The 23,698-nt window shown below is 46.5% G+C and overlaps 1 long non-coding RNA gene and 1 pseudogene across 2 annotated transcripts in view; both read left to right on the forward strand.

Moving 5' to 3' along the window:
* The first annotated feature begins 2,405 nt into the window (after positions 1-2,405).
* LOC112268087 (uncharacterized) overlaps positions 2,406-23,698 on the forward strand; it is a 35,807-nt gene continuing 14,514 nt past the window's right edge. Inside the window, exons 1-3 of one of the 2 annotated variants that reach the window (XR_002957391.2) lie at positions 2,406-2,615; positions 8,458-8,562; positions 16,782-16,863. This is a non-coding gene — a long non-coding RNA (uncharacterized LOC112268087). The remainder of the gene's footprint in view (positions 2,616-8,457; positions 8,563-16,781; positions 16,864-23,698) is intronic. The other variant, XR_002957390.2, reaches the window with a different exon arrangement.
* On the forward strand, positions 22,439-22,772 carry RPL35AP30 (ribosomal protein L35a pseudogene 30; annotated as a pseudogene).

The raw sequence follows: 23,698 nt of genomic DNA on the forward strand, positions 1-23,698 counted from the left end.
AGTCATGTATTTTCTCAACCAGAGTGCTCTAAAATTACATGGAAACCATTGGACCTTCAAGTACCCTGTTCCCTCAGCCTAGAGGGCTTAGCCCACTCCCTCCCCTTCCTTCTTTGCCAACTCTTACTCATACTTGAGTCTCACCTTAAACATCACTTTCCCAGAGAGGCCTGTCTTGACTCTTTCCAAAAATTAGGTCACCCCATTACACATCACCATGGTCCTGGTCCCCTCCCCATCCTAGCCTACATCACATGTGTAATTAATTACTTCTCTAATATTTGTCTTCCCTTTTTCCATGAGGATTAAGACTGTGTCTGTATTCCCAAGTCAGGAATAAATATTTGCAGAATAGACGATGGGTGGATGGAAGGCCCACTTGGGACAGGCACTTAAGGTGTAAGTAATCTGTTTAAATATTTTCATTCTTTCCCATCACCTCATCCATTTTCACTCATTTTGCTTGAAACATGTTTTGTGAATTTCTCAGGTTTAATCCCCATTGCCAGAACACATTAACTTCAGGCTCCGAACACAAAGATTGTTGTCACTTTCAATTTGCCCCTCAGTGCATTTTAAAGAAATCATTCCCATGGTAGAAATTGGGAGAAAGAAAAAAAAACACACATGAGTGGGTTTGAGGTAGGAAAGTGTTGAGGAGGAGGGGAGGAGTGAGCGATGGGGAATCAATTTGATAGCAATCAGGGAGGGGCCAGGCATGGTGGCTCATGCCTGTAATTCCAGCCCTTTGGGAGGCCGAGGCAAGAAAATCACTTGAGCCCAGGAGTTTGTGACCAGCCTGAGCAACATAGGGAGACCACCTCTCTACAAAAAATTTATGGCCGGGTGCAGTGGCTTACGCCTGTAATCCCAGTACTTTGGGAGGCCAAGGCGGGTGGATCTCTCGAGGTCAGGAGTTCGAGGCCAGCCTGGCCAACATGGTGAAAACCCATCCCTACTACAAATACAAAATAGCCGGGCGTGGTGGCACACACCTGTAATCCCAGCTACTCGGGAGGCTGAGGCAGGAGAATTGCTTGAGCCCAGGAGGCGGAGGTTGCAGTGAGCCCAGATCGTGCCACTGTACTCCGGCCTGGGCCACAGAGCGAGACTGTATCTCAAAAACAAACAAACAAACAACAACAACAACAACAAAAATGCAAAGAAAAGAAATCAACCATTTTCTTCCCCCTTTCAAACCCCATAGCCTAACCAGAGGGAACTTCTGAGGGGAAACTTGCTCTTTGCTGCCATCTGGTGGCTGTTACTGGAGCAGTTCTCACAGGAAAAACTTCTATCCAACAATTATGTGGCACCTACTGGGTTCAAAGTTCTGTACCAGGCAACTTATAAATACTTTCTTACATTTTTATATTCCTTTACCAATAATGAGGCATTTTCTTTTTTTGAGATGGAGTCTCGCTCTGTCACCCAGGCTGGAATGCAGTAGCCCGATCCTGGCTCACTGCAACCTTCACCTCCTGGATTCAAGCGATTCCCCTGTCGCAGCCTCCCAAGTAACTGGGATTACACCTGTAATCCCAACACTTTGGGAGGCTGATGCGGGCGGATCACTTGAGGCCAGGAGTTCAAGACAAGCCTGGCTAACATGGCAAAACCCCATTTCTACTAAAAATACAAAAGTTAGATGGGCATGATGGTGCATGCATGCAATCCCAGTTACTCAGGAGGCTGAGGCAGAAGAATCACTGGAACCCGAGAGGCAGAGGTTGCAGTGAGGTGAGGTCGCACCACTGCACTCCAGCCTGGGTGACAGAGTGAGACTCTGTCTGAAAAAAAAAAAAAAAAAAGAGCTGGGCATGGTGGTGCACACCTATAATCCCAGCTACTTAGGAGACTGAGGCATAAGAATTGCTTGAACCCAGGAGTTGGAGGTTGCAGTGAGCCGAGATTGCACCATTGCACTCCAGCCTGGGCGACGGAGAGAGATTCTGCCAAAAAAAAAAAAAAGTCTGCAGTCATTGCCATTGTCCCCTGGGGAGGCAAAATCCTCAGTTGAGAACCACCAGTATAGATCAATGACAGCTTATAATTCAAGGATGCCCACCACCATCTGTTTGTGGGAGTATATATTGGCACAAATCTTGGACGGGTGATTTTGAAAGTAGGCTTTGGAAAGCAATCATTAAAATATTCAAAATATTTGCATTGGAGGAATGGGAGAGAATTTATTATTTATAGTCCTAGAAGTGTAATAGATTCATTAGGAATAAAGGTTTGATGATATATAAGACTGTAGTTTCCCCAAGTGATAGACACAGATGTGATGGCTGCCAGCTGCCAACAGTCCTCGAAGTAGCTTCGTACATGAGAAACTGGATAATTCATTTGAGGTGTGGGCATCAGTCTCACCTGGCTTAGACTGCAGTGATTGGTTCAAAGATGAGCCTATCAGAGTGCTTCTCTAGAGTTCTTCTAGTTTAACCTGAGGGGTCAGGTTAACTGACTGAGGGGCCAGGGTCAGAGAAAAGGGTATCTTTTCTCCCTGGTCACAAGGCTGTAAGTATGGAAGCCCAGCATCAAAGAGCCATGCCCCCACCTAAGAAAGAAGTTGTTCTAAGGAAAATGAAACCAGTATACAGACAGCAGGATGGGTAAGTGGCACAGAAAATCCTTGTGATGTTCAAGTCTGGAGTTTGGCCATCTGTGGCTAGCTCCAACCGGGACATTCCCATAGTTTCCTCTTGTGAGCCAATAAATACCCCCCCTCCTCTTTTTGTTAATAGACAGGGTCTCACTCTGTCACCCAGGATGGAGTGAAGTGGCACGATCATGGCTCACTGCAGCCCCAAACTCATGGGCTCAAGTGATCCTCCCACCTTATCTTCCTTAGTGGCTAGGATTGCAGGTGCATGCCACCATGCCTAGCTAATTAAAAAAAAATTTTGTAGAGGTGGGGTCTTGCTACGTTGCCCAGGTTGGTCTCAAACTCCTCCAGCAATCCTCCCCCTCGGCCTCCCAAAGTGCTGGGATCACAGGCATGAGCCACTGCACCTGGCCCCAATTCTCACTTTTTATTCAAGCTAATGTATATTGGATTTCTGTATCTTGCAACTGTAGGGTTCTGACTAACACATCTTTTTTTTTTTTTTTTTTTTTTTGAGACGGCGTCTTGCTCTGCCGCTAGGCTGGAGTACAGTGGTGCGATCTTGGCTCACTGCAATCTCTGCCTCCCGGGTTCAAGCAATTCTCCTGCCTCAACCTCCAGAGTAGCTGGGACTACAGGCACGCGCCACCACGCCCAGCTAATTTTTGTATTTTTAGTAGAGACGGGGTTTCACCATGTTGGCCAGGATGGTCTCGATCTCTTCACCTTGTGATCCACCTGCCTCTGTCTCCCAAAGTGCTGGGATTACAGCCGTGAGCCACTGCGCTCGGCCGCTGACTAACACATCTTGACAAAGATGTAGAGAATTTATGTAATGACCAGGAGCACTGGTAAAATTTTGACTTGTAAATGTCTTGAGGAGAGAATCCCTGTGCAAACTAGATGGATCCAATTCCCCTGCGAGCCTACTGTGTAAATCCTGGTGTGACGCTTGCAAACTCAGTAGATGCAGCTGCCTCGTGGCCACCACACCGCCTCCATTCCTTTAAGGTTTTATACTTCCCCAGGCTTTCACAATCATTATCTCATTTGCCTTCTGCCACATCCCAACCAGACAGAGAAGGAGATTTTACCATCCCCATTTCCAGGTGAGAAAATGAAGACACCATGAGGCTAGACGATTTTTTTCATGTAATTCAAGGATTTGAGAAGAGATCAGCTGTTCTCAAATTCGATCGGTCATGACCTGTGCCATGAGTGATCTGATGGTAATGGTTAAAGTACCATTAGCTGGAGGATGATTCATATATTTTTAAATAATACATTATCCCTATACCAACCTAATTCTTGCCAGCATTTAATATGCTTTCCCTACCGGGAGAAAAAGGAGCAGAGTTACAGCTGGCATATTAAGACTTCCCCTGGGAGTGTTATGCATATGAATGCCTGACCATGTGCAGCGTAACAGAAAACAAGGTGGAGAGTCCATGGAATAGCCAGTTCCAAAAGCTGCTTCCAGCTCTACAATGGGATGATTCACCCAAAGTAAACAATGAGTTGATGGCATTCAAATCAAAACTAACCACTTTTCCTTGTCCATGTATCTGACCAAGGATCACTCACTTCAAACAGTTGTAGGATGATTATAAAATGTGTCATCGGGGCCGGACTCAGTGGCTCACGCCTGTAATCCCACCACTTTGGGAGGCTGAGGCAGATGGATCACCTGAGGTCAGGAGTTCAAGACCAGCCTGGCCAACATGGTGAAACCCCGTCTCTACTAAAAATAGAAAAATTAGCCAGGAGTGGTGGCAGGTCCCTGTAATCCCAACTACTTGGGAGGCTGAGGCAGGAGAATTGCTTGAACCCAGGAGGCAGAGGTTGCCGTCAGCCGAGATTGCCCCACTGCACTCCAGGCTGGGCAACAAGAGCAAAAACTCTGTCTAAAAAAAAAAAAACAGTGTCATCCATCGACACCTGTGGAAAGAAAGGGGGAAAAAAATGTGTCATCCAGACCAGGATACTTTTTTTTTTTTTTTTTTGAGACAGCATCTTGCTATGTTGCCCAGGCTGGAGTGCAGTGGTATGATCTTGGCTTACTGCAGCCTCGATCCCCTGGGCTCAAGCAATCCTCCTGCCTCAGCCTCCCAAGTAGCTGGGACCATAGGCGTGCACCACCATGCCTGGCTAATTTTTTTGTATTTTTTGTAGGGATAGGGTTTTACCATGTTGCCCGTGCTAGTCTTGAACTCCTGAGCTCAAGCAATCCGCCCACCTCAGCGTCCCAAAGTGATAGGATGACAGGCATGAGCCACCGTGCCCAGCCAAACCAGGATACTCTTAAGACAAAAGGGAACATCTAGGGAATGGAACACCAAGGCCACATATTAAACAGGAATTGTGTTGAGAAAAAACAGGACTTAAGTTACCCTAAGTCTATGCAACTCAGGAAAAGTAAATTTACAAAACCAGAAACCAACAGCCCTGCCCCTAGGAACATGATTCTGAAGGCAAGTTGGATATGTCTTGGTTTTAGCTCCCCCAGAAGCAGATCCTGAGACAAGGATTTGGGTTAGTTTATTTGGGAAGTGAAGGAAGCACCTTGTAGGGGAGTAGGAAAATAAGATAAGGAAAGAAAGGCAGCCAATAAGAGTGTGGCTCATGCCTGTAGTCCCAGCACTTTGGTAGGCCGAGTCGGGCAGATCACCTGAGGTCAGGAGTTCAAGACCAGCCTGACCAACATAGAGAAACACTGTCTCTACTAAAAATAAAAAAAATTAGCCGGGTGTGGTGGCACATGCCTGTAATCCCAGCTACTCAGGAGGCTAAGGCAGGAGAATCACTTGAACCCGGGAGGCAGAGGTTGCGGTGAGCTGAGATCGCACCATTGCACTCCAACCTGGGCAACAAGAGCGAAACTCTGTCTCAAAAAAGTGTGTTATCAAGCTAGCTGTTACTGTGGGCAACTGCCACGTGATCCCTGTGCTGGCCACAGAGCTGGGCCACCCACATGCCCCCTCAAGGGAGGACTTGCTGTCCAGGGACTGCAGGGAGTGCAGTCAGTAGACAGACTGCAGCTGTCACCTCCTTCAAGGTCAGCCTCAGCTGTACAGCCCTGCCCAGCCCAAGGCCATGCCCTTCCCGAGGTAGCCTGCATCTGTTGACTGGGCAAGGAAAGTCTGTTTTGTTTTGTTCTGTTCTGTTTTGTTTTGTTTTGTTTCGTTTTTTGAGATGGAGTCTCGCTCTGTCACCCAGGCTAGAGTGCAGTGGTGCGATCTCGGCTCACTGCAACCTCCGCATGCCAGATACAAGCAATTCTCCTATCTCAGCCTCCGAGTAGCTGGGATTACAGGCACTCACCACCACGTGCGGCTAATTTTGTATTTTTAGTAGAGACAGGGTTTCGCCCATGTTGGCCAGGCTGGTCTCGAACTCCTCACCTCAAGTGATCCAACCACCTTGGCCTTCCAAAGTGCTGGGATTACAGGTGTGAGCCACCACACCCAGCCAGGAAAGTCATTTATAAAGGTCGCCCATTCCACCTGACTTGGAACATTTTGACAGGCAGTGTCAAAGTGTTGCTCTGGAGCTCCCCTCTGGGTTAGCCAAAGCTTTGTCAAGCCTGCACTGTGGCTGGATATTTCTCTCTGCCCAATCCTGCTTCTTCTCATTTTTTTCATAGGGACTGATTCCTTTATTTACTTATTTATTTTTGAGATCGGGAGTGCAGTGGTGGGATCTCAACTCACTGCAGCCTTGATCTGCCAGGCTCAGGTGATCCTCCCACTTCTGCCTCCCAAGTAGCTGGGACTACAGGTGCACACCAGCATGCCTGGCTAATTTTTGTATTTTTTGCAGAGACAGGGTCTCACCATGTTGCCCAGACTGCTCTTGAACTCCTGGACTCAAGAGATCCACCCCCCAACATGGAGAAACCCCGTCTCTATTAAAAATACAAAATTAGCCGGGCAGGGTGGTGCATACCTGTAATCCCAGCTACTCGGGAGGCTGAGGCAGGATAATCACTTGAACCGGGGAGGTGGAGGGTGCGGTGAGCAGAGATTGCGCCACTGCACTCCAGCCTGGGCAACAAGAGCGAAACTTCATCTCAAAAAAAAAAAAGGTCCGCCCCATTCGGGCTCCCCAAGTCCTGGGATTACAGGTGTGAGCCACTGCACCTGGCTGATTGATTCCTAATGAGGATTTTGTACCCCAAACTCCATGTAAGCATCTGCTTCTAGAGAACCTAGCCCCAAACCATGCCTATGGGGAAACAGGGAGTTAAATAGAACATGTTCCTCAGAGATTCATGGGATGTAAAGCAATCCCTCAATTTCTAGCATATGAGATTCCTGGGGAGCTCACTTTCCAGCATTGCTGGTAATTCTTTGCTCAATAGGGGTGTTATTAAGAACAATTTGCCAGGACATCTATAAGCAAAGATTAGGCTCATAAACAGACTGCCTCTGAATTGCCATTGGGTGTTCTTAGATGCTCATAGCCTGCTGGGTATACATTTTAAAGCACCATCTCTAGCTCTATCTTTAGTCCCTACCCCTCAGCTTGTGCTCATGAAATTAAGTACATCCACATGATAGTAATTTCAAGGGCAACCTTGACCTTGCAAAAAATGCAATTCCGGCCAGGCACAGTGGCTCATGCTTATAGTCCCAGCACTTTGGGAGGCCAAGGCAGGTGAATCATCTGAGCTAAGGAGTTTGAGACCAGCCTGGGCAACACAGAGAGACCTTGTCTTGACACACACACAAAAAAAATCGGTGTGGTGGCACATGCCTGTTGTCCCAGCTACACAGGAGGCTGAGGTGGGAGGATCATTTGAGCCCAGGAGGTTAAGGCTGCAGTGAGCTGTGATCATGCCACTACCCTTCAGCTTGGGTGATAGAGTGAAACCCCGTATCAAACAAACAAAAACGCAAAACAATTCCAGTATGTTGATGGATTTCTAATTGGTGGTCTAAGGGAGGCCTTACTGTATGTATGATATGGTCTGGCTCTGTCCCCACCCACATATCATCTTGAATTGTAGCTCCCATAGTCCCCATGTGACGTGGGAGGGACCCAGTGAGAAGTAATTGAATAATGGGGCCGGGTTTTTCCCATGCTGTTCTCATGATAGTGAATAAGTCTCATGAGATCTGATAGTTTTATTATTTTTATTTATGTATTGATTGACTGATTGATACAGGGTCTCACTCTGTCGCCCAGGCTGGAGTGCAGTAGCGCAATCTTAGCTCGCTGCAACCTCCACCTCCCAGGCTCAAGCGATTCTCGTGCCTCAACCTCCCGAGTAGCTGGGATGACAGGCATGTGCCACCATACCCCGCAAATTTTTTGTATTTTTAGTAGAGATGGGGTTTTGCCATGTTGCCCAGGCTGGTCTCGAACTCCTGAGCTCAGGCAATCTGCCCACCTTGGCCTCCCAAAGTGCTAGGATTACAGGTGTGAGCCACTGCACCCAGCCAATCTGATGGGTTTATAAAGGGCAGTTGCCCTGCACACACTCTCTTGCCGACCATCATATAAGACATGCCTTTGCTCCTCCTTCGCTTTCTGCCATGATTGTGAGGCCTCCCCAGCCATGTGGAACTGTGAGTCCATTAAACCTCTTTTTCTTTACAAATTACCCAGTCATGGGCATTTCTTCACAGCAGTATGAAAATGGGCTAATACAATGTAGGTCCTATAAGTCTCATTAATTCATTCAACACAAATTTTCTGGACACCTATACTATGTGGTAAACACTGTTCTAGGCACCGGGTTTAAGAAGTCAGAGGCCAGAGAGGACTGTGCCTCTGCATCTGTGTCTGGTCACAGAGTCAGTTTATAAACCATTATGTGTATCTTTGTGCTGCCTATTATTTTACAGAACAATAGTCAAATGCTTTCGATGTGCTCAACACAATGCTAGGCACAGATGAATAAGGGTCTGTTCCAAGAAGACACAGAATGGGAGAAATGGTCAAAAATAAAGGTAAAATGTTACTCCTCACTAGTATTTATTTACTTATACCCTGTTGTGTTCCAGAAAAGATTTAAGGCAGCTTACAAGGATACATAAAACATAGCTAGACAGCATAAATTATACATAAGAGAAGGAAGAAGAAAAACAAAACAAGAGTGAGGATTGAAATGGGGCCAGAGATGAGACTAACACAGGGATAAATATGATCAGTTCCTCTGTGCTCATAGCCTGGTGCAATCACAGGTGTGGTGGATGTTATTGGGGCCCTGCCCAGAGACCCTCAACACTCATTTCTAAATGCCAAAGAATGTTCCTCGTGACTCTCTGAATGAAGGCTTTGTTCTGGTTGTGGACGCACACCTGGTCTGCAAGCAGGATAGCCTAGAAGTCCCAGAAAGTTCAAGTCCCTAGAAATAGCCCTCACCCAGTGAGGGATGGGAGTTGTTAGATAAATACCCCAGCTCCTGGCCAGGCGCAGTGGCTCATACCTGTAATCCCAGCACTTTGGGAGGCCAAGGTGGGTGGATCACTTGAGATCAGGAGTTTGAGACCAGCCTGACCAACATGGTGAAACCCCGTCTCTACTAAAATTACAAAAATTAGCCGGGCATGGTGGTGCACGCCTTTAATCCCAGCTACTCAGGAGGCTGAGGCGGGAGAATTGCTTGAACCCAGGAGGCGGAGGTTGCAGTGAGCTGAGATCGTGCCATTGCACTCCGGCCTGGGCGACAGAGCCAGACTCTGTCTCAAAAAACTAAAAAAAAAAAAAAAAAACCAGTTCCATATTTATCCTCCATTGAGATAACCCTGAGGCATGTTCTATACAGTCTTCCAGGGCTCCCCAGTGAGACCGAGCTCCTGCTGCCCACAGTGGTAACCCGCTTGGTAACAGACCTTTTATTGGCTGACTTCCTTTCTCTGTCTCCATTTTTCTGTCCCCACACTGTTGTTTCCTGGGATCACCTCCCAAATAAACAGCCTGTAATTGAATTATTGTCTCAGCAAGGATTCTTGGGGAGCCCAACCCAAGACAATGCACTATGCCTTCATCTGCTATTTAATGTAGAACTCCAGGCTCCTGCAAAGTTTGTTCCCTGTCAGAATTTCCAGGAATGCCCAGGAGAGGATCACACACAGAAACGAGTCTTGTCGGTCTCAGGTTTGTGGGTTTTTCCTCCTTTCCTCCTGTTCTGGATGCACTGATATTAACCAGGCATGCTGCTATTTTTGCTGGGTGTTTTTTGGTTTGGTTGTTTTGTTTTGTTTTGTTTGTTTTTTATTTTCTTGAGACAGAGTCTCACTCTGTCACCCAGGCTGGAGTGCTGTGGTGCAATCTCGTCTCACTGCAACCTCCACTTCCCAGGTTCAAGTGATTCTCCTGCCTCAGCTTCCAGAGTAGCTGGGATTACCGGCATCTGCCACCATGCACTGCTAATTTTTGTATTTTTAGTAGAGATGGTGTTTCACTAGGGTGGCCTCGAGCTCCTGATCTCAAGTGATCTGCCCACCTCAGCCTCCCATAGTGCTGGGATTACAGGTGTGAGCCACCATGCCCGGCCTATTTCTGCTGGTTTTGACTATCTCAGTTGATTTCCACTTTATCCAAAGAACATCTGCACCTCGTACCATTGGGTACCATCTTTGCTATCAGGCACTGTTGGCTTTTATTGGGTACTAACTGGCCCAAGATGCCAAAGCTATATGACGTTCAATGGTGATGTTCAGTAGAGGGTACCCACACTGTGTTCTGCCATGTGGACAAGATGCCAGAACAACATTGCTTGGGGGCCAAAATGTAGTTTTCATTAAGCAATCCTGTTTTCATTAAATAACCCCTAATGTTCCTTTAATTTTTACTTACAGCCATAATCACATAAAACTCAAGCATGGGTTAGGCAATAAGGAATGGTCCTGATAATTAATCTGAGTGATAGCTACCCCACTGTCCTCAAAAATCACTCATTCAAACTTAGCCAGATAAGTCTTGGTGGTTTTTTTGGTTTGTTTGTTGTTTGTTTGTTTAAGACAGACTCTCGCTCTGTTGCCCAGGCTGGAGTGCAATGGCATGATCTCAGCTCACTGCAACCTCTGCCTTCTGGGTTCAAGCCATTCTCTTGTCTCAGCCTCCCGAGTAGCTGGGACTATAGGCACATGCCACTACACCCAGCTAATTTTTGTATTTTTAGTAGAGACGGGGTTTCATCATGTTGGCAGGCTGGTCTCGAACTCCTGACCTCAGGCGTGAGCCACCACACCCAGCCTAGGTTTTGTAATTTAAAATGGAAATCATTTACAATATGCTAAGCCTAGGATGCCAGATACAAAATGCCACATATTGTGTGATTTCATTTATGTGAAATATCCAGAATAGGTAAATCCATAGAGACAAAATATAGATTGGTGGTTGCCAGGGGCTGGGAGGAGAGGAGAATGGGGAGCAACTGTTTAGTGAGTATGGGGTTTTCTTCAGGGGTGATAAAAATGTTTTGGAACTAGACAAAGGTGGTGGTTGCATGACATTGTGAACGTACTAAATGTCATAAAGTTGTTCATTTTAAAATGGCTCATTTTGTGGCCAGGTGTATTGGCTCACGCCTGTAATCCCAACATTATGGGAGGCCAAGAACGGCAGATCACTTGAGGTCAGGAGTTTGAGACCAGCCTGGCCAACATGGCAAAACCCCTTCTCTACTAAAAATACAAAAATTAGCTGGGTATGGTGGCACGTGCCTGTAATCCCAGCTATTTGGGAGGCTGAGGCACGAGCATTGCTTGAACCTGGGAGACAGAGGTTGCAGTGAGCCATGATTGCACTACTGCACTCCAGCCTGGGTGACAGAGTGAGACTGTCTCAGAAAGTTAATAAAATAATAAAATAAAATAAAATAAAATAAAACAAAATAAATAAAATAATAAAAAATGGTTTGTTTTGGGCCAGGCATGTGCCTTAGGCCTATAATCCCGCACTTTGGGAGCCTGAGGTGGGAAGATCTCTGGAGCCCAGGAGTTCAAGACCAGCCTGAGAAACTTAGTAAGACCCTCTCTCTACAAAAAAAAATTCCAAAATTAGCCTGGCCATGATGGCGCATGCCTGTAGTCCCAGCTACTCAGGAGGCTGAGGCCAGAGGATCACTTGAGCCTGGGACGTCAAGGCTGTAGTAAGCCTTGATCCGCCACTGCAGTCCAGCCTGGGAGACAGAGCGAGACCCCGTCTCTAAAAAAATATGAAAAATAGGCCGGATGTGGTGGCTTGGTGGTTCACGCCTATAATCCCAGCACTTTGGGAGGCTGAGGTGGGCAGGTCACCTGAGGCCAGGAGTTCGAGGCCAGCCTGGCCAACATGTTGAAACCCCGTCTCTACTAAACATACAAAAATTAGACAGGCATGGTGGCGGGTGCCTGTAATCCCAGCTACTCAGGAGGCTGAGGTGGGAGAATTGCTTGAACCCAGGAGGTGGATGTTGCAGTGAACAGAGATCACGCCACTGCACTCCAGCCTGGGGGCAACAAAGTGAGACTCCTTCTCAAAATATATATATATATATAAAATTAAAATTAATAAAATTTGAATAAAATTCCAACCTCAGTTTCTCAGTCACAGTGTAGCCACAATCCACGTGCTCAATAGCACTAGGCTATGGCATTACAGGACATGTGACTTGACTATTCCTATGCAACTCGTATAGCTTTTTAAATCATTTATTTCTGTTTTGACTTCCCAGCACTTGCCAAAAGCTTTCAAGGTGAAGTGTCCCAGTTTATTTAAGCACCACCTGGCAGCCGCTGAAGTGTCACGTTTCTATTTCACAGGAGCTAGCCATGAATCTGATTGCTACTGTTCCACATGATTAGCACGTTTGGGGTGACAGATTGTTGGGTTTGTCACACTTCGGAGCAGGTTGTGATTCTGTAATCGTTTTTTCTGAAGGGAATGAAGCATCAAGAAGCTACTGGTCTGGACCGGGTACAGTGGCTCACGCCTATAATCCCGGCACTTTGGGAGGCCAAGGTGGAAGGATCACTGGAGCCCAGGGGTTCAAGACCAGGCTGGGCAACATAGGGAGACTCCATCTCACCAAAAAAATTAGCCAGGCGTGGTGGTACACGCCTGTAGTCCCAGCTACTCAGGAGGCTGAGGTGGGAGAATCACTTGAGCCCAGGAGGTTGAGACCAGCCTGGGAAACATGGTGAGACCTTGTCTCTACAAAAAAAAAAAAAAAGAAGCCAGTGGTCTGTGTCTCAAGAAGCGACATATCATGTTTCCCTGCAGCCCTCGCCTCTAGAGAGTTGCAGAATAAGAGAAGAGGAATGAGCTCATACAGAGGGACCATGCTGGTAGTAAGACATATAAAAAGAGCAGTTAAAATGATTAGGGATGTCAAATCTTAAGAACCCCAAGGATAATTCATTAGACTCTGAAGTATCTGATGAGCTCACCTGGTCCATCCTGGATGAATAAGAGCAATTTGCCCTTTTCTCTCAACTCCCAAGAGATAAAGATCCACACCAGCCCTTGTTTTCTCATTGCACTGAATCGTACCTCTCAGGTGTCAAGAAGTGTTTCTCTAAGTCTTATCAGAAGCTCTCCTATTAGCTGATCTTTCAAACCTGTCTGCTAACTTGGATATCATTTAATGATGGCTGCTCCCTGAATGTCAGGACCTTTTACCTGGAAATAACTCTTTAGTATTTTCGCATTTTTGATGCTTCTACATCTCAATATAATTATCCAATTTTTGGCTGGGCGCGGTGGCTCATGCCTGTAATCTCAGCATTTTGGGAGGCCAAGGAGGTGGGTGGATTACCTGAGACCAGCCTGACCAACATGGAGAAACCCTGTCTTTACTAAAACTACAAAAATTAGCTGGGCATGGTGGCGGGCACCTGTAATCCCAGCTACTCGGGAGGCTGAGGCAGGTGAATTGCTTGAACCCAGGAGTCAGAGGTGGCGATGAGCTGAGATCACGCCATTGCACTCCAGCCTGGGCAACAAAAGCGAAACTCCATCTCAAAAAAAAAAAAAAGGAAAAAAAAAGAATTATCCAGTTTGTAAATTGCCTGACTATTTCTCCTCGTTTGTCTTTCTTGCTTGCCCTTTACATTTTTTCCGCTCTCGCTCTACTTTATCATTTTTATTTTTATTTTTGAGATGGAGTCTCACTCTGTCGCCCAGGCTGGAGTGCAGTGGTGCAATCTCAGCTCACTGCAACCTCCACCTCCAGGGTTCAAGTGATTCTCCTGCCTCAGCCTCCCGAGTAGCTGGGATTACAGGCACACGCCACCACACCTGGCTAATTTTTGTATTTTTAGTAGAGACGGTTTCCCCATGTTGGCCAGGCTGGTCTCAAACTCCTGACCTCAAGAGATCCGCCCACCTTGGCTTCCCAAAGTGCTGGGACTACAGGCATGAGCCACTGTGCCGGGCTGTCTCCTTTATCAGATTGGAGAGAAGAGTAAAATAAAATTTCCATTGGCCACTTTTTTCTTGGCCAGCCCAATAGTACAAATGTATTCAAATTATGCCTTTCTGGTCAGGAGCAGTGGCTCACACCTGTAATCCTAGCATTTTGGGAGGACAAGGCGGGTGGATTGCATGAGCTCAGAGTTCAAGATCAGCCTGGGCAACATGGCAAAACCCCATCTTTACTAAAAAATATAAAAATTAGGCGGATGTGGTGGCACATACCTGTAATCACTCGAACCCAGGAGGCCGAGGTTGCAGTGAGTCAAGAAAGCGCCACTGCACTCCAGCCTGAGTGATAGAGTGAGACAGTGTCTCAAAAAAAAAAAAAATCTGCCTTTCTAATATTGAGGCGAGAGCTATCAGCATAAATCTATACCTCTCTTGCTTATTCATAACATAGGCCTTGGATAGTTTCTTTAAAAACAAGAACAACAATAAAATACAAACCATGGTAGCACATTCAATCCTGTTGCTGATGAAAGTGATGGCTTTTATAGATGCCTCAGAAGAAATAACACATATTCCCAAAAGAGTTGCTGTCATTTATGCCTCTTTCAAGGTTAAACTTGGCTGTGTGCAATGTTTTGTTTGCAAGTTTTTGATTGCAAGTAATGGGAATGTCCTATGGCTAGCATAAGGAAAGAAAGGGAGGAGAAAGGAAGGGAAGGGGAGGGGAGGGAAGGGGAGGGGAGGAGAGAGGAATAGGAAGGGGAAGGAAGAAGGGAGGGAAGGGGAGGGGAGGGAAGGGGAGGGGAGGAGAGAGGAATAGGAAGGGGAAGGAAGAAAGGGAGGAGAAAGGAAGGGAAGGGGAGGGGAGGGAAGGGGAGGGGAGGAGAGAGGAATAGGAAGGGGAAGGAAGAAGGGAGGGAAGGGGAGGGGAGGGAAGAGGAGGGGAGGAGAGAGGAATAGGAAGGGGAAGGAAGAAGGGAGGGAAGGGGAGGGGAGGGAAGAGGAGGGGAGGAGAGAGGAATAGGAAGGGGAAGGAAGAAGGGAGGGAAGGGAAGGAGGAAGTTAATGAAAGGATGTTGGAGGCATTTTATGGAAGCAAAGGAAGAGGTGGATAACTAAACCATCCTAGAAAAGGAAGAAACCATGCCAGGCGCAGTGGCTCATACCTGTAATCCTAGCATTTTGGGAGGCCGAGACGGGCAGATCATCTGATGTCAGGGGTTCGAGACCAGCCTGGCCAACATAGTGAAACCCCGTGTCTACTAAAAATACAAAATTAGCCAGGCATGGTGGCACGCACCTGTTATCCCAGCTACTGAGGAGGCTGAGGCAGGAGAGTCACTTGAACCTGGGAGGCAGAGGTTGCATAAGCCAAGATCACACCACTGCACTTCAGCCTAGGCGACAGAGCGAGACTCCATCTCAAAAAAAATAATTAGCCAGGCATGGTGGCAGGTGCCTGTAATCCCGGCTACTCGGAAGGCTGAGGTAGGAGAATCTCTTGAACCTGGGAGGCAGAGGTTGCGGTGAACACAGATCATCCCACTGCACTCCAGCCTGGATGAATCCAGAGTGAAACTCTGCCTCAAAAAAAAATAATAATAATAAAATAAATAGGCCGGGTGTGGTGGCTCACGCCTGTAATCCCAGCACTTTGGGAGGCCAAGGTGGGCAGATCACAAGGTCAGGAGTTCAAGACCAGCCTGACCAACATGGTGAAATTTTGTATTTTGTAAAAATACAAAAATTAGGCTGGGCGCGGTGGCTCACGCCTGTAATCCCAGCACTTTGGGGAGGCCGAGGTGGGTGGATCACAAGGTCAGGAGATCGAGACCATCCTGGCTAACATGGCAAAACCCCATTTCTACTAAAAATACAAAAAAAATTAGCCAGGAGTGGTGGCAGGCGCCTGTAGTCCCAGCTACTCGGGAGGCTGAGGTGGGAGAATGGCATGAACCCGGGAGGCAGAGCTTGCAGTGAGCTGAGATCGCGCCATTGCACTCCAGCCTGGGTGACAGAGCGAGACTCCGTCTCAAAAAAACAAACAAGCAAAAAAAAATTAGCCAGGCATGGTGGCGCATGCCTGTAATCCCAGCTACGCAGGAGACTGAGGCAGGAGAATCGCTTAAACCCGAGAGGCGGAGGTTGCAGTGAACCGAGATGGTGCCACTGCACTCTAGCCTCAGCGACAGAGTGAGACTCCATCTCAATAATAATAATAATAAATAAAGTCATCAGTTCCACTCCCATGATAACCCATTAACCCATTAATTTATTAATCCATGAAAGGATTAATCTGACCCAAGAATCTCTTAAAGACTCTCAATACTGCCACTTTGGGGATTCAATTTCAACATGAGTTTTGAAGAGAAAAAATATTCAAACCATAAAAGCAGCCTAATCTCCTTGAACCCTATCTATGGACTAGCACATAAAAAAGAGAAATTTTTAACTTGTTTAAGCCCCTGTATTTTGGAGTCTGTTTGTTACAGTAGCTTATCTATGAAATAATAGAGCTGGGATTGCTGTGTTGGATCTGAAGGGCCTTATGGTTCCTGCCCAGGATGTAGTCATTCAGAAACCCAGCAGGATTCAGGTTTGATACACTGAGGGAGGCTGAATTGCACACTTTTACCTGAGTTCCCATGAGGACTGGCAGCCTTTTGAAATCCCTGCCTTCCTTATTTCCATTAATATCCTTACAGTAATAGGAGACCATCTGTTTCTTGGCACCAAAAACTTCTAAAACAAACTCTCCCCTTACATCCTGCACTTCTCATTTAGATGCATCCTTTCTGTCTTCTCTGCTAAACAGTGAGCTCCAGGAAGAAAAGGATCATCATTTATCCTTCCATGCTGTGTCTTTAGAACCTAGTGTGGTGCCCAGCACATAGAAGGTATCCCAACAAATAGGGGATGGAGGGAGGGAGGGAAGGATGAGTGGATGGATGAATAAATGGAAAAAAAGAAAATAATAAAACTAGCTGTAGCTTATAGGAGGGAAGCCTTCATGGAACTTCTCTCTCCAGGCTCTGAATTCCTACTGTCCTGACTTTCTCTGTGTCACTGTCACGTATGACTGAGCCACGTCCCCATTTTCACCTCCACTCTGGAGGCATACTTCAACAGAAGTGTTAGGTCACAGAGGTATGTCTTTAGGACCTTTCTTTTTAGTGGCTCTACAATCTTACAACCCTCTTTCTAAGCATCTAGAGGCCTAATACTATAGAGCTTTCCTTTATCATACTCAAATAATTATTTTTCTCGGACCTACTTTGCTAGCCTGATTAGAAAACAGAGCCTGAGACAAGATTGAAGTGCTAACACTTTATTTAGCAGTTGAAAGCCTATAGAGGTGAGAATGAGGAAGAAAAGAGGAAAGAGGTGAGGTGAAATACAAATCAATGTGATGTGTTGGCCAGGCACGGTGGCTCATGCCTATAGTCCCAGGACTTTGGGAGGCCGAGGCCGAGGGATCACTTCAGGTCAGGAGTTTGAAACTAGCCTGACCAACAGGGTGAAACCCTGTCTCTACTAATAACACAAAAATTAGCGGGGTGTGGTGGCATGTGCCTGTAATCCCAGCTACTCAGGAGTCTGAGGCAGGAAAAAAGCTTGAACCCAGGAGGCAGAGGTTGCAGTGAGCCAAGATTGCGCCACTGCACTCCAGCCTGGGAGACAGAGGTAGACTCTGTCTCAAAAAAATAAATAAATAAAAAAATAAAAAAAATGATGTGTTTCCAAAACTTTCCCTGTGAACTTTATAAAATTAATCAAGGGACCAGATGGAGTGGCTCACACCTATAATCCCAGCACTTTGGGAGGTCAAGACAGAATTGCTTGAGCCCAAGAGTTCAAAACCAGCCTGGGCAACATACGGAGACTCCATCTCTACAACAAATAAAAAAATTAGTTGAGCATGGTGGCTCACACCTGTAGTCCCAGCTACTTGGGAAGCTGAGGTGGGAGGATCACTTGAGCCTGGGAGGTCAAGGCTGCAGTAAGCCATGATGGTGCACTACAGCCTGGGTAACGGAGGGGGACCCTGTTCCAAAAAAAAGATTTAATCAGGCTGGGCACAGTGGCTCACACCTGTAATCCCAAAACTTTCGGAGGCTGAGGTGGGTGGATCACGAGGTCAGGAGATCGAGACCATCCTGGCTAACATAGCGAAACCCCATCTCTACTAAAAATACGAAAAAAAATTAGCTGGGCGAGGTGATGGGCACCTGTAGTCCCAGCTACGCGGGAGGCTGAGGCAGAAGAATGGCGTGAACCCGGGAGGCGGAGCTTGCAGTGAGCCGAGATTCCTCCACTGCACTCCAGCCTGGGCAACAGAGCGAGACTCTGTCTCAATTAAAAAAAAAAAAAAGATTTATTCAGGGAGAGAGAAGGAGAGATGAAAATAAACCAAGTTTGCAGCACACTCAGCACTAATCATTAGGTAGCTTGGTCTCTGACCTGCTTCCTCATAGCTGTTTGTCTCCTATTGTCCTAGAATCGTATATACCCAGTTAAAAGATTATAGTTCCCAGCTGGGCACGGTGACTCATGCCTGTAATCCCAGCACTTTAGGAGGCCGAGGTGGGTGGATTACCTGAGGTCAGGATTTTGAGACCAGCCTGGCCAACATGGTGAAATCCCGTCTCCACTAAAAATAAAAAAATTAGCCAGGAGTGGTGGTGCACACCTGTAATCCCAGCTACTCGGGAGGCTGAGGCAGGAGAATTACTTGAGCCTGGGAGGCAGAGGTTGCAATGAGCCAAGATCGTGCCACTGCACTCCAGCCTGGCCAACAGAGCGAGACTCTGTCTCAAAACAAACAAAAAAAATTATAGTTCCCCTTAACTGCTCTACAGGTAACAACTTGAACATGATGAAATGTTAAGTTTTCCCTTTGAGATATTCTTTCAGGTTCTGCATACCAGTGAAATTACTAACATCAGCTGTACTGAAGGACCCCAATGGAACTGAGTCACAAAAGAATTCAGTTTCCATGTACTGATGATTTTATCCCCCTTACCCTGATCAATGACCCCAAATTCCATGATCCCCTTAAAAACCCCAGCCCAGAACTCCTTGAGGAGATGGATTTGACTGTCTCCTTTCATCTCCTTCCTTGGCTGCCCTGCAACCATTACACTCTTTCTCTGCTGCAAGCCCTACTGTCTCAGTGTAATTAGTATGTTACTGTACATCAGGCACATGAGCCTGTTGGTCGTATAATATTGCCGTACTGGCCACCAATCCCAATCCTGCACAGCAGGTTACTCACCAGCCTTGTTTGCTTGGTGCATAGTCTTTTCCAGAGAGACCACGAGGAGGAGCCACATCTAGGAACAGATCCTCACAAGTGAGAAAGGAGAAGGAATGTATTTGCTTAGCTCTCTCCTATCTTCCATTTCTCAGTGGCCAAGATTCATCCCTGGGGAAACTAACTCCCCTATACTCTTTGGTTGTGTAACCTAGCACCTTGCAGCCATCCAGGCTGGCAAATTCCAATGGCGTGGCATTACAAATCCAGAAGTAGAGAGGTAATTCAGTGTGGATAGGGTGCTGACTAGTAGAGAAGAAAGAAGATAATCGACGGAATCTGGGAAGAGTTCTTTCTTTTTTTCTTTTTTTTTTTTTGACAGAGTCTCGCCCTTGTTGGCCAGGCTGGAGTGCACTGGTGCGATCTCAGCTCACTGCAAACTCTGCCTCCCGGGTTCAAGTGATTCTCCTGCCTCAGCCTCCTGAGTTGCTGGGATTACAGGCATGCGCCACCATGCCCAGCTAATTTTGTATTTTTAGTAGAGACAGGGTTTCTCCATGTTGGTCAGGCTAGTCTCGAACTCCTGATCTCAGGTGATTTGCCCACCTTAGCCTCCCAAAGTGCTGGGATTACAGGCATAAGCCACTGCACCCAGGGAAGAATATTCTGAATTATCCAGGTGGGCCCAATCTAATCACATTCGTCCCTAAAATCAGAGAATCTTTCCCAGCTGTGTTCAGAGACAGACATGACAACAGAAGGGCCAGAGTGATGCTTCATTGCTGGCTTTGCAGATGGAGAAGGGGCCACTAGCCAAGGGATGGGGGCAGCCTTTGGAAGCTGGAAAAGGCAAGGAAACGGATTCTCCACTAGAGCCTCCAAAAAGAAATACAGCCCTAGTGGCACCTTGATTTTAGTCCAGTGAAATCCATGTTGAACTTCTGGACTATAGAACTAGAAGAAAATTAATGTGCATTGTTTTAAGCCATTAAGTTATGATAATTTGTTATAGCACCAAGAGGAAATTGATACACAGTCTCTACTGCTATAGCTAGTTCTAGGGCCACAATTGTAACCACTCAATGGGTTCATTTTACCTTCTGCCCAAATAGAGCCAATTTATCAATACAGGGGAATTGCAATAGAGAAAGAGTTTAATTCGCACAGAGCCAGCTGAATGAGAGACTAGAGTTTTACTACTCAAATCAATCTCTCCAAAGATTTGGGGGTTGACTTTTCAAGGATAGTTTGGTTGGCCAGGGAATGGATACTACTGATTAGTTGGGGATGCAATCATAGGGGTGTGGAAAATGGTCCTTGTGCATGCTGAGTCCACTTCTGGGTGCGGCCGCATGACCCATTGGCAGGTCTGGGTGGAACCATTTGTTGCCAGAAATGCAAAAACCTGAAAAGACATCTCAAAAGGACAATCTTAGGTTCTACAATAGTGAGGTTATCTGCAGGAGTCATTGGGGAAGTGGCAAATCTTGTGACCTCTGGAATAATGGCCAGCAATCATTTACACCTAGATCTTAGCAGAAGTCAGGCTCCCCTCATGCGCCTATTCTAGCGGTCTTTCATTAGCTTTACAAAGTGGTTTAGTTTGAGAGAAGGGCAATTGCCATGTAAACAATAAACTAAATGTCTCCCAAAGTTAGCTTGACCCAATCCCAGGAATGATTAAGGTCAGTTCAGAGGTTAAAGGCAAGATGGGGGTTGGTTAGATCAGATCTCTTTCACTGTCACAATTTTCTCACTGCTATAATTTTTGCAAAAGTGTTTCATAATTGAAATTTATCATCTCTGTCTTCCATGACCCAGTTGGGGTTACCCAGACATTCATCCCCAAGGAGTATAGGTGTTTAGGAACCCTTGCGAGCTCACAGTTGTTGTAACTGCCCATTAACAGTCATCCCAAGCATGAAAATATCAAATGATACACTAGTGAATCTTCTGGGTTCCAGACATTTTGTCTCCTGCCCCTGTTGTGAAGCAGCTACCTTAATTCCCCAGAACAATCAGAAATGATTATCCCAGGCAGTGCAGTAACTCCCTTCTCTGCTTGTCACTTCAATAATACGAGGAACTCAAACTAAGTACTATATAGTCGCAGCATCCAATTCAATGGAATGCTTACTGTGTCCCCAGGCCTAAGAGTTCTTCCAGAAATTAGAAACTCTTATCCTACAGAGCCCAAGGTTACAGGGATGAGAAGCACAAAATCTGCAAGTGGGTCACTGGGTGCAATTGTGAGAAAGGTCAGCCCCTGTTTCCCAACCCCAATATACTAACTAGAGAGGCATAGTATAGTATATTACTTGTTAGCTCAAGGAATAAGCCACATCCTTCAAGATAGCCCATAGCTGGGTGCATTGGCTCACGCCTGTAATCCCAACACGTTGGGAAGCCAAGGCAGGGAGATCACTTGAGGCCAGGAGTTTGAGACCAGGTTGGCTAACATGGTGAAACCCCGTCTTTACTAAAAATACAAAAATCAGCCGGGTGTGGTGGCGCACGCCTGCAATCCCAGCTACTCAGGAGGCTTAGGCATGAGAATCGTTTGAGGCCGGGAGGCAGAAGTTGCAGTAAGCCAAGATCCCACCACTGTACTCTAGCCTGGGTGACAGAGTGAGACTCTGTGTCAAAAAAAAAAGATAGCACCTATCCTGCAAGATATACTTCTCCAGCACATTAATTGGGCCTTCAACAGATGCTATTAAATGTAGATTTTATTATTATGCAAATACGGTGAGGCCAATATAGGAGGCAATTGACATTGAAAAGATAGTGTCTCACTAGGCCCAAGAGGAGGGGGCACACCAGGCCATACATGGCCACATGGCCACATAGGGGAAGCACCAGTGTCAGAGGCATTTGAACCAGAGTGACTCAATCTTTTTTTTTTTTTTTGAGACAGTCTCACTCTGTCACCCAGGCTGGAGTGCAGTGGCACAATCTCGGCTCATTGCAACCTCCACCTCCCCGGGTTCAAGCGATTCTCCTGCCTCAGGTTCCCAAGTACCTGGGACTACAGGCGAGCACCACCACGCTCAGCTAATTTTTGTATTTTTAGTAGACACGGGGTTTCTCCATGTTGGTCAGGCTGGTCTCGAACTCCTGACCTCAGGTGATCTGCCCACCTCAGCTTCCCAAAGTGCTGGGGTTATAGGCGTGAGCCACTGTGCCCCACCTGGGAACAGGACTTCTAAAAGGCAAATATGTCTGGAAGGCTGTGGTCCTAAGGCCATTTTTGCTGGCTATAAGCAGGGTCTCTGGAACCAAAGGGAGCACACAGCTCTCCTTAAAATTGAAGATGTTTATGCCCAAGATGAAACTGAATTCTGTTTGGGCAAGAGGTCTGCTTATTTATACAAAGCAAAGAATAACACAGTGACTCCTGGTGGCAAACCGAACCAAACCAGAGTAATCTGGGGAAAGGTAACTCAGACCTATGGAAACAGTGGCGTGGTTTGTGCCAAATTCCAAAGCAAACTTCCTGCTAAAGCCACTAGACATGGAATCCATGTGATGCTGTACCCTTCAAATATTTAAACTAATGAAAACTAAATAAATAAAAGTGGATTTGTGCTCTTGTAAAAAAAAAAAAATCAGAAACATACAGTTAATACAATAGGCCATCCCATTATTCTATCAGACCAGTTATTTCTGAGTGATAGGTACATGGTTAAGACTAGTGAAGCCCATGGCCATAGGCCCCTTATCACATCACACCACACTTTCTTTGCTGTAAAAGGGGTCTCTTGGTTCCCAAGATTGTGTGTGATAGTGATATGGTTTGGCTGTGTTCCCACCCAAATCTCACCTTGAATTATAATAATCCCCAAGTGTCAAGGGTGGGGGCAGGTGGAAATAATTGAATCATGAGGGCAGTTTCCCCCACACTGTTCTCATGGTAGTAAGTCTCATGAGATATGATGGTTTTGTTTGTTTTTATTTTCATTTTTATTTTTTGAGACAGAGTTTTGCTCTTGTTGCCCAGGCTGGAGTGCAATGGCACAATCTCGGCTCACCACAACCTCTGCCTCCTGGGTTCAAGCAATTCTCCTGCCTCAGCCTCCCAAGTAGCTGGGATTAGAGGCATGTGCCACCAGGCCTGGCCGGCTAATTTTTTTTGTATTTTTTGTAGAGATGGGGTTTCTCCATATTGGTCAGGCTGGTCTCGAACTCCCGTCTTCAGGTGATCCACCTGCTTCAGCCTCCCAAAGTGCTGGGATTCCAGGCATGAGCCACTGCACCCGGCCTTTTTTTTTTTTTTTGAGACAGAGTCTTGCTCTATTGTCCAGTCTGGAGTGCAGTGGTGAGATCTCGGCTCACTGCAACCTCCACCTCCCAGGTTCAAGTGATTCTCCTGCCTCAGCCTCCTGAGTAGCTGGGATTACAGGCATGCACCACCATGCCTGGCTAATTGTGTATTTTTAGTAGAGACAGGGTTTCTCCATGTTGACCAGGCTAATCTG

Source organism: Homo sapiens, chromosome 12, assembly GCF_000001405.40.
Source record: "Homo sapiens chromosome 12, GRCh38.p14 Primary Assembly".
In the NCBI taxonomy this organism is placed as follows: domain Eukaryota; kingdom Metazoa; phylum Chordata; class Mammalia; order Primates; family Hominidae; genus Homo; species Homo sapiens.